Source organism: Homo sapiens, chromosome 7 (genome assembly GCF_000001405.40).
Source record: "Homo sapiens chromosome 7, GRCh38.p14 Primary Assembly".
Lineage (NCBI taxonomy): Eukaryota > Metazoa > Chordata > Mammalia > Primates > Hominidae > Homo > Homo sapiens.
This window is the reverse complement of record NC_000007.14, coordinates 41506726-41518967: the sequence shown is the minus strand read 5'-3', so window position 1 is coordinate 41518967 and position 12242 is coordinate 41506726.

The following is a 12242-nucleotide window of genomic DNA, read 5'->3' as shown; positions in this document are numbered from 1 at the left end:
GGTGGAAACTGGGCCCCCATAAGTTCCTGGCACACTGTGTGTGTATGTGGTGGGGGTCTGGAGTTGTAGGTGACTGTTGCCCATTGATGGGTTTGACATGAGCTGAGGGAGACGCCCCTTGTTTTTGGTGAAGCTAGAGAAAGGGTGTGTGATAAATATTGAGTGTCAACTTGATTGGATTGAAGGATGCAAAGTCTTGTTCCTGGGTGTATCTGTGAGGGTGTTGCCTAATGAGATTAACATTTTAGTCAGTGGATTAGGAGAGGCAGACCTACCCTCAATCTGGTTGGGCACCATCTAATCAGCTGTGAGTGTGGTTAGGATAAAAGCAGGCAGAGGAACAAGGAATCACTTGCCGTCTAAATCTTCTGGCCTCCACCTTTCTCCTGTACATCAGAATCCAAGTTCTTCAGCTATTGGACTCTTGGACCTACATCAGTGGTTTGTAGGGGACTCTTGGGCCTTTGGCCAGAGTAAAGGTTGCACTGTTGGCTTCTCTATTTTTGAGGTTTTGGAACTCTGACTGGCTTCCTTGTTCCTCAGCTTGCAGAAGGTCTATTGCGGGACTTCACCTCCTTGTGATCGTGTGAGTCAATACTCCTTAATAAACTCTCTTTCCTGTATATGTCTATCCTATTAGTTCTGTCCCTCCAGAGAACACTGACTAATACAAAGGGCAATGGAAGAAAGGAGATGTCTTCTATGTCCCCGTTCACATGCTCCTGAAGAGAAGGAGAAGAAATCACACTCTCAACATCTGTGTTGAACACTGGTTCAGGATGGTCCCAGGCCTGTGAGGATAATGTACACCTCACAGCTGCACCTTCCAGAGTAATCAGCAAACAATCCACAAGCATTGTTTTTTCTTTCTTCCAAAATATTTAACTACAAAATACATCTAATATATAATTCTAATACAAATTGCCCTACTGCTATCTCTTATGCCCAGCGGTCAGCTGCTCCTACTGCTTTCTATTTGAGGTTAAAAATAGAACAGCCGAAACAGTGTGTAATGACAAGACAAGTGAATGAGATGGACTATTTGAGGCAGAACAATATACTAGTGAACAGTGTGGGTGTTGGAGTCAAATTTCTTATTTGAATCTCAGGTCTACTTGATTCCCTTGGGCAAGGTGCTTAATTTCTCAGAGCCTCAGATTTCTTGTAACTGAAGGTAGTAACCTACTTCCTAGGGGTGTTGTGAGGATTTAATGAGATGACGTGTATAAATCATTTAGCACACAGCAAGAGCTCACTAAATATTAGCTGTTATTATTATGAATGCTATAAAATTTACATAATATAAAATATTTATTTGAGCACTTAATGTTTTCCAGGAACAATGCCAGGTGCCTAAGATACAAAGATGTGTTCATTTACTCAATGGAGATGTGTATTGAGCACTTACTATACACCACATACTGATCTAGACCATTGGGATGTATCACTGAATGAAAGGAACTGAGATCCCTGTTTTTGTGAGGAGGACAAACCATAAATATCAAACATAATACACAATAAAATTATATAGTATGTGAAAAGGTAAATATTAGAAAAGAAGGAGAAGAAGGTTGCAATGTTAAATAGGGTGGTCAGGTATAGGATTCTAAAACATGACTTGGTTTTAAAGAGCTCTTGTCCTAGTAGAGACACTGACAAGACTGGCAGGAAATGAAATGGGAACACAGGGAGAGCATGATCAACTTGCTTGGGAAAAGTGGAGGTAGCTTTGCAGAGCTGGCTCTTGATGGACAGATGGGAAGCACATGTGAATGGACAAGACAGGAAGAGTGAATAGCGGATATGGAGGCATGAGGATGAAAGATGACTCACACCTGTAGCATTACAAGTGGCTGGGGTGGTGGGAAGGCAGGCTGTAGGTGCAGGAGGTGTGAGGTGAGAAGGGCTTCCTGGGTGAGACTAAAGATTTCAAATGGATCATGTAGGCAACAAGGAGGTATTGAAGTTTGAGCTGGGGAATCGTAGTCCAGTATACATCTTAGAAGGCATATTCTAGTGTGGGAGATCTATGTGTTTGGCAGTAAGATCTTTTAAGAGGTAATGAATAATCCAGATGGACCAAAACAACTGCAGAGAAAAAATGGATTTCAGACACATTTAGAAAGTAAAATAGACAATATTAATCACTACTTGAATGTAGGGATGAACAGGACAGAGGAAACAAGGGTGATCTCTACAAACTTGGGTTTGATGATGAAACGGACAGTGAATTATGATATGTGGACTGGAAGATGAACATTGTGGGAGTAGGGCAGGAAGGTGGAAAGATAAGGAGTCTTGAAAGCCCCAGATTACAGTAAACTCTGCTTCTTAGGGAGGAAAATCAAGGGGATTAAAAATTCTTTTTTTCAGTTGAGAATGTATAATTGATGTAATAACACAAAAAAAGGGAGCATTACATTGAAATGTGCCAAAATCATGCCTCAGAAAGACTACAGGAAACCATGACTCTCCAGCATTTAAATCAACACCACTACAGCCAGATGTATGTGGTATCCACCTGGGCAAATGTGAGAGCATGTCTCTCCCGGGAGCTCCCAAAGCCCCATGTCAAGTGGGTTGTGCAGGACTCTACCAATACCAAGGGCCCTCATTGGGACCACCAAGGATGTCTCGTAAGCAATATTGTTGTCTCAACTCCCTATTTCTGATTCTTACCTTAAGAGCGTATACAGGGCTTTCATAATCTTATTAAGGAAACTTGCAGATCTCTGTCTCTGCCATTTTAAATATTAAGAAGTCATGGCCCAGAGAGGTTGTAGGAATCATTCAAGGTCATAGAATTACTTTGTGGTGGGGGACAGGACAAGAATCCAGGTGAGTTAAAGGGCTTTGAGTTGCAAGTAAAAAAAAAACCTGTTTTCAAATGTACTTAAACAAGAACATTTATCATCTCATCTCAAGAGAAGTCCTATATTAGTCCTTTTTTGCACTGTTCATAAAGACATACCTGAGACTGGGCAATTTACAAAAGAAAGAGGTTTAATGGTCTTACAGTTCCATGTGGCTGGGGAGGCCCCACAATCATGGTGGGAAGCAAGGAAGAGCAAGTCATGTCTTACACGGATGGCAGCAGGCAAAGAAGGAGCTTGTGCAGGGAAACTCTCATTTTAAAAACCATAAGATCTCATAAGACTTATTCACTATCATGAGAACAGCATGGGAAACATCTGCCCCATAATTCAATTACCTCCCACCAGGTTCCTCCCACAACATGTGGGAATTTAAGATGAAATTTGGGTGGGGACACAGTGAAACCATATCAAGTCTGGAAGTCAGACTGGCTTCTAGCATGGTGCTACAGGAATCCTACATCATTTTTCTTCCTCTCTTTTGCTCTGCCCTCCTCTGAGTGCCAGCTTGTTCTCAGGCTAACTTCCCTCATGGCCCCAAGTTGGCTGCCAGTAGGAAGAGGGACAAAATTTTTTCCTATTCCTATTCATCAGGACAGAGGAAAAACATTTGCTCCCAGATGAAAACTCTTTTCCTTCAGCCTGATTGGTCTAACATAGGTTCCTAATCACCTCTAGATAAATGGTTATAAACAGGGGGATAGCAAGCATTGGTTGCCCTTAGCTTGGGCTCTCCAACTAGTTCCTGACAGGAAGGCATGAAATTACTATCATCGGCTTCCTAATTAGGAAACTCTCTTGTGATCACCTTCCACTGAATAATGTGGGCAGTGAAGAAGGGGGGGAGCTATTTTATTTTATTTTTAATGAATAAATAATAATTGTCATGGTGAAACCCCATCTCTACTAAAAATATAAAAATTAGCTGGATGTGGTGGCACATGCCTGTAGTCCCAGTTACTCAGGAAGCTGAGGCAGAAGAATCTCTGGAACCTGGGAGGCGGAGGTTGTGGTGAGCCGAGATCGCGCCACTGCATTCCTGCCTGGTCACAGAGTGAGACTCCGTCTCAAATAATAATAATAATTGTATATATTTATGAGGTACAATATGTTGTTTCCAGACATGCATACTTTGTGGAATGATCAAATCAGGCTAATCAGCATATCCATCACCTCAAATATTTAGCATTTCTTTGTGATGCAAACATTTAAGTTCCTCTCTTTTAGCTATTTTGAAAAGAGGGGAACTATTAAAAAATAAGGGTTCAGTTAACACTGTGCAATAGGATTTCTGGCAATGAGGGAAATGTTCCATATTCTCACCATCCAATATGGTATCTAGAAGCCAGATTTGGCTACTGAGCACTTGAATGTGGTCAATATGAGTGGATAATTGAATGTTTTGTTTGATTTCATTTTAATTTTTTAAATTTAAGTAGCTGCAGAGTTAGAAAGATGAAAGGGGGTGTGGATGCTAGGAGGTGATCAAAGTGTCCCCCACCCCAGAACCCACTGTGTTGTCCTCTGTCCTGCCCTCCAGTGCTTAGTCTATCCCTATGCTCTCTCTCATGGTTGTTTCTCTCCACTCTCTGTTTTCACCTTCACACATTGTCATTCTACGACATGCAAAGCGAAACTCAGGATCTGATGAGGAGGTCAGAGTGGGAGGAGAATGACAACCCTTTAAGAAAATTAAGCCATAGGAGTTGGATCCCCTGAAAATCACAGAATCCTCCTGCACACTGAAGGCAGATACAAAATAATTTTTTTCAATAGCACAGATTTCCCCCAAATATAAAAGATCATTTGTAATCAAAGAAGAAAGGATAATCATAACGCATAAATCCATGGAAAAGCAATGTATCAACAGCATCTATTAAACTCAGGGAAAAAATGTGAGTGATTACTACAGAAACAGAATACTTTAAAGGAAATTACCCAGAGATGGAGAAAGAGCAATCTTTTTTATAAAAAGAAAAACTGAATAATCAAAAACGATTATTGTGATAAGAAGTAGCTCTTCCATGCTTATATCCAAGCAAAACACTGAGGAAAAGATGATCTTGACAGCATAAGGACAGGAGCAAAGCCCATGGGTGCAGTGACTACGCATTCCCATCTACTCAAGACAGCTCTGTGTGCACACTTGTTATTCTGAAAATTAGTAGTAGTGCCCACTTTTACTCATAGAAGTGTGTTAGTTTGGACAGTAAATTCTGTGATCATTCTACCAATGGAATGCAAAGAGCCAGAGTGGTCTTCCTCTCTGGTGGACAGAAGGGCACATCTTCATCTCCAGCACATGCGAGGTGTACACACAGATCAGGCACTCACTGGCTTGCAGGGAGAGGCTCTTAGCACCTCTGGAAACCATCCCACAATGTGGAAAACAGGCCTAATCTCAGCAGCACGTTCCATTGTCTTCACTCTACATCACAGCCCGGGGCCCTGAGCTACCCTTGAAAGCAATATGGTGGTGGGTGAGGGCCCAGAGAGAGCAGCAGACATGGTTTATGGTTCAACTCTGCCATTTAGAATTATGTGATCTTGTTTGAGGTCTTTGACATGTCTGTCCTTATTCCTCAGATACATGGAACAGTGACCACACCTAAAAACCAAGTCATTGCAATGTTATCTCATTTGTATTACCAAGGAGCATGGAGCATGCACAATAGGGAAAGAATTGGGATTTCTAGTTTACAGTATTTGGTAATGTAAACATACCAATATAAATGTAATGTAAAAGAAATAGAAGGTTGTGTTTTTTGGTTTTGTTTTGTTTTTTATTGTTGTTTGCTTTTGTTTTTGTGTTTTTTTGTTTGTTTGTTTGTTTTGACATAGTTTCACTCCTTTTACCCAGGCTGGAGTACAATGGTGTGATCTCGACTCACTGCAACCTCTGCCTCCCGGGTTCAAGGGATTCTCCTGCCTTAGCCTTCTGAGTAGCCGGGATTACAGGCATGTGCCACCATGCCCAGCTAATTTTTTTTGTATTTTTAGTAGAGACAGGGTTTCTCCATGTTGGTCAGGCTGGTCTCGAACTCCCGACCTCAGATAATCCAGCCACCTCTGCCTCCCAAAGTGCTGGGATTACAGGCGTGAGCCACCACTCCCGGTCAGTTGTGTTTTTAAATAGAGCTATTGTAAAGTGGCTGCACCAAATTATCTCTATCAATAATTGTCTTGCCTTGGCTTTCTAGTCTTTAAAAATACAACTGTGAGCATTCCTTACTAAGCTTTATAATGCATACAATGTATCTGGAAGAGTGTTTGTGCTTATAGTACCATGATAAGTATTGGTCTAGGATTCTCGTACCTACTGGCAAGTGCGCTGAGCAGGACCCTTGTGCAGAAACAGAACGAGTGTGCTTTTCTGTAATCTCATGGAAACAGACAACTAGCTCGGAAATGAAATCACCATTATTTCAGTGTGTAAGGAAAATGTATTGTGACAGTGACATTTTTTCTTTCTCTCTTTTGGTCAGCCCAGCTAAGCTAAATCTTGGCTAAAATGACTCCCCTTTTTTTTCTGTGCTGCTCTCCTGCAACTAAACTTTTCCCTGGAGTTGAGGATTATCTGAAAAACCTGAAGTTCTTTCAGAGTTTCAAAGTCAAGGCAGCACTTACAAAAGCTACCTATGATGATAAGAAGCAACTTTTGGTCAGCTATTCACAACTTTGCAAAGCTCTCTCTCTGAAGAAGAATTTGATTGATGGTAACTTAGTGTCCACTTAGCCTACCACAGTGTCTGCAGAAATCCTTCCTGAGATGTTGCTGGTGGACACCAATTCAATGTCCCCTTCCATCGCTCTGGTGATGGGGAACTCTCTGGCTCACATGATACATTCCAATACTGGCTAGCTCAAAATTTTATTTTTAAAATAATCTTCTTTATATTACTCTGGTAGTTATCTAGCTCCCTACAGCCCCTCTTTTTTGGCTCTGGCTCTGTCATTTGGACAAATACAGGGAGTCTAGTTTCTCTTCCTTATGGAAGATTTAAAGTCATCCTTGGCAGAAATTTACATTTGGCCATTTTCTATCTCCTTCCTCAACTGGTCCCTTTTTTAGGCCTCATCTGATGGTTTAACAGTTCCATCATCCTGCCTCTCTCTATCTATCACTTTGTGACTATTCCTAGGATCTATGAACTGGAATTGCAGACCTGACCAGTGCTGAGTCCAATGGAACCAGGGCCTCTCTCTGTATCTAATATATTCCAGTCAGTGCAGTGTACACGCATGTATTTTTTTTATCTTGGTAACTATCATGAGACTGCTGAGCAAAGTGGTCCTAGACACTCAAGCAATTTAAATGGCTGCCATCAATTAATTAGGGGTGCCTAATTTTGTCTGTGAAAACCAAAGTGACAAATCTGTCTAATGATAGAAAACTAAGAGAAAATAAAAACATCTAGAACCAATTTTAAAATTCTGTAGAAATAAATAACATTAAATATGATTTTGAGGTTCGACACAAGTGTTTCTCACATGATGTAATTCTATGAAAAGAAACATGGAAATTTACTTTGTCAAGGAAAGAGACTCCTACAAATGCCAGGGACTGGTGATTTGTGTCATCACTTGCTGTCATCCTGGTTGCTCTGTAGTCATTCAGAGGAAGAGGTAAACTTGGGCCACAATCATTTGCTCCATGCTTTCCAGCTTCCTGGTTTTCTTCTCTGAGGAGGTCAGAGGCCAGCAGAGTCATATTGAGTCAGGGAAAATTCTCTTGTTTTTTAGGACATACGAAAAGAACAGTTGAGGAAAGATGTGCATTTTTTTTTTTTTTCAGACACATGATTTCCAAGAGTGAAGAACCAAGTGCGGTGGGTGAGTGACATAGAAGCCTGAGGTTTAGCTGCTAAATCAAGGCCATATTTGTCAACAGGTCTGTTCCAGCAAAAGGGCCAGAGTGACCATAGGATGGGTCCTCTGAGAAACATTCCAGAACAGACATCCAGGATGCGGGAGCAGCTGGATACTTCATAAGCATTCTGCAATGGGACTGACTGTGTGTCAGCAACGAGCTCAAGACTACAGATATTTTGAGTCATTGCCATGTTGGTGGAATTGTTGGAGAGCTAGAATTAGCACTTTTCGAATTGTCGGACCCAGTGCTTGGGGCTGCCAAAATCCGCAGGCTGTTCCTTTCTCTGGTCTGAAAGGTGTTTTTGAAAAGGTTAAATTTAAGATGCAGGAATATACAAGGAATTCATTTACTAATTCTGCTGCCATGGCATAATCACCAAAAAGGTGAGTTGATTTGATATCTTAGAACCAAGATTGCTGCGAGAAAAGCTGAGCACTATATAGGATCTGGCATGAATCAATCAATATTTATTGATCATCTATATGGATGAAACATTATGGGAAACATCCATAATGTTTTCAGGAGCACTAAGCTAAGCTTTCGGACTATTCAAATTGAAGACATGATCTCCAAACTCAAGCAGGATTAACTATAGGTAGCGAGTTAGGACTAATACATTTGAATCAATGCCCAGGTTGATAAGATAGAACAATATTTAAATGTTAAATGGCAGAGTATAAATCATCAATATTATAGGCATTCACAGAAGGGAGCCATCGATGTGTAGCTGATGCAGGGCCTTGAAGGGAGGGAATATTTCAGAGTGCCCAGAGATGGGAAGCTATTCCAAACGAAGGAAGGACATGATGAAGAGAGCTCAGAAAGTAAGAATGACCTAGATGAGTAGACACGGGATAGACTGCATTTTTATTCCTTAAGTACCTTCAATTCTAAAAGGAAAATTAAATGAGGGCAAGGGGAGATGAGTGGAAGTCTATCTGAGTCTGCATTTGCAGAGTTCTATGACATGGCATTGAAGAGTCCATTCTCTTTTGCAATAGAGAATCTCTAGAAATGTGGCAAAGGTCTTTAGTCTAATTAGGGAGGAAATAGCAAACCAATGAGTTCCCCTGAGCAGAAGAGCAAGGTTTTGTAGTACATATTTAGAGAAGATTGGACCTGGGAAGTGGTATGAAGTGTGCACTGGAGAAGAGAGGCTGGTGTCAAGGAAGCCACTGGAGATCGGTATGAGCAGCCTAGCGCGTACTGTGAAGGTTCAATGGAGAGGGTAAGAGCGAAGAAATGAAGGACTTGAGGCACTGTGAAGGAAGCAGAATATCAGACTATGGTCACTTACTGGTCCCAGGGGATCAATGAGTAGAGTAAGTGAAGGCTAATTTAAAGCTTTTAAGGCTGAGGACCAGGCTGGGCATGGTGGCTCATGCCTGTAATCCTAGCACTTTGGGAGGCCGAGGAAGATGGATCACCTGAGGTCAGGAGTTCAAGACCAGCCTGGGCAACATGGTGAAAACCGTCTCTACTAAAAATTAACTGGGTACAGTGGCACGTGCCTGTAATCCCAGCTACTCTACTCAGGAGGCTGAGGCAGGAGAATTGCTTGTGCCCAGGAGGCAGAGGTTGCAGTGAGCCAAGATTGCACCATTGCACTCCAGCCTAGGCAACAGAGTGAGACTTCATCTCAAAAAAAAGAAAAAAAGACTGAGGATCAGTGCTTCTGTTAACAGGAAGTTGTAGGATAGGGAAGATGATGAATATGGCATCATAAGCTTAGGGACATCCAGTTTAAAAGGTGCAGTAAGTCACTGGAGATACAGAATTATATTTGGGGTAACAGTTCAAAGTGGTCCAGGTTTGTCATTACCTGCAAACAAATATAGAAAAACAGAATTCTTCCTTTGCAGTTGGGGGTCACTTTATTTTGCATAATGCTCTCTGTGTGTCTGTTGTTTAACAAACACACACACATGTACTTTTTTCTTTCTAGAGTTGAGCTTTAAAAAATGTATTGCAATGCACACAAATAGAGAAGACAGGGAAGAGTACTCCCAGCAGAGTGACTGACATTAGCAAAGATTTGAAAGTCACAAAACAAGAAGAGAAAATGTAAGATAACAGTGGAGCAAGACTGGAAATCCAGCTCAATAATGTAACTGCTGTTTACGATGTGTTCCCTGAGCATGCCAGGCCAGGAAGAGGTTCACTGCTCTGAGCTGTACAGCTCAAAGGGCACTGACAACTTTTTTCCTACTTGCGTAAACATTTAATTTCCACTTTTAGATTACGAGATTTTAGTAGACAAGAGTACGTCAAAGTCATCATGGTACTCCATAGAAATGCATGCTTGATAAAATATTCCTGATTTGTTAATGGTCTGTTGTTTTTATTTTCAGGTTGTGAGGTGGCATTCAAAAATGTAAACAGGAAACAACCCTGCTTCCTTTATGCAGCCATTACCATGTGAAGACAGGCTTGGGACATGTAGGGGATATTTGTCATCATTTCAGCTCTCCATCTGATTTTTGAGAGATTTCTTGTTTTATGAACCCACCTCCCACTATAGAAGCTGGAGAAGCAGCATGGCCCTTTCTCATTCCATCTTGCAGTTAGGATGTGGGGATGTAAATTAGGCACAGCTCACAGTATTTTAGATATGGAACTACAGATACAGTGAGGGAACAACAGGGCAGAAGTTGGTCTGATGATAGCAACCATTTGCAATGTCTAGGAGCAGAAGTGGTGTCTGGGGTCAGCTCTCTGGGCTAGGGGCAGTTTCCAGCTGCTTATGTAGAGAGGAAGCATCAGCAGGAGGTCCTAGACTGGCCAGTGGCCTCACTCTGGCTCTGGTCACAGTCCCTCACTGTCTTTTCTTTGTGTTCAGTTTTTGAGTCTGTTCTTCTGTCTTTCTAGTGCTTCTTGGAGGCACATAATATCTTTTCAGCAAAACTTTTTTCTTAAATTGTCCAGAGCCAGTTTCTCCATTCCCAGTGATTACTGGGGATGCCCCATCTCTAAATATTTTCTATAGTACTTAAAATAGGCAGGATCTATTCTCATTCTCTGTTTAAGATCTAGAGGACTTCACTCTGCCCACCCTGAAAAACATAGCTGAATTTGTGACCTTGGGATGTGTTCACACTGGCCAAGCCTTTGATCTTCAGCAGCTTCCCGTCAACATGACATAAATCTACCCTGCTACCTCCTGCCCTTGGGAATAAAGCAAGCTACCACAATGCTATGCATCAACAGCATGCTTGATGCCAAGGCGGTCATGACACCCCAGGTTTGCTCAGGGCAGGTCCAGCTGGAAACCCCTTGCCAGGACAGAACCACAGTGAAATCCTCTCCATGTCACATAAAGGAGGAGAACTGTGGGAGAAGGAAGAAAGCCTTCCCTATGCCTTCGAGGAATATCTGTTTATTCACTTGTTCAGTTTTTCAATAAATACTTATTGGACACTTGCCTACTAGGTAAATAGACACATTCCTGGGCTTAATGAGTATGTGGCCTGGCTAGGAAGATTTGAAGGCCGCCAAATGAGTACTGCACAGTAGGGTTATTGATGTAATAGAGCCACAAAGTGAAATTGGGAGGGAAGGAGGATCTAAGATCAGCAAGGTGTCTACCAAGGCTTCATAATAAAGGACTACTGCTTTGTCTTGCAGGATGAATAGGAACTGGAGGAACATTCCAGGAAGAAGGAAAGATATGTGCAAATGTCCAGGCATGTGAAACAAGCACACATGCCAATAACCCCCCGTGGTCAGAATGTAGTATATCTAGGAAGGGGAGGTAGGAGATGAGAATTTGGCTTTTATTCTGTGAACCCATTTAAGGATGTTAGCAGTCATCTGCAACTTCTTATGTACTCAGATATTACTTTTAATTTTTATTTGTGCAGGAAAGCAAAAATGTTAAATTCTACAGTGTATGCAATTGGACACTGCCTGGCACATCAGAAGAATACCACATTTAGTGCCTGTTAGGTCAGTTAGAATAAGGGCACCTGGGTTGCAGAGCTGTTCTAGGTTTTCTGGTAGGACATTGGCCTTTTTGAGAAGGCCAAAGCTTTGTCCCTCTTTCTGGTGTTGGCTCTGGCTCTAAGCTGTGCTTGAGCCTGGCCATCCATCCTACAGAGTCCCTTTGGGTTAGGCTTCATGGGGAGTTGAATGGAAGTATGTATCTTCTTCCTAAGTTGTCACTGGTATATTTCATAAGGCCTGCATTCATGGAGGACATCAGAGCCCTGCAATTTACTGATCTTAGTGTCTGGAGCTGGGAATGTTTCCTTTCATGTTTTGGGAGGATGGGTAAGGAGCTGTGTATTGCGGCGGTTGGGGGGCACAAAGGGGTGGCTAAGTGGTCAAGGAAAAATGAGAAAATTCAGTAACAGCAGGGAAGACACAAAGTCATTTGCTAAAGATAGGGGTGTTGTGCAAGTAAACACAGTTTACTTTTAAAGGGAATCGCTTTATGACAATACAGGAAAAAATCTCTAAAGTTTATTTGGAAAATGTGAAACAGCTAAATTTACTTA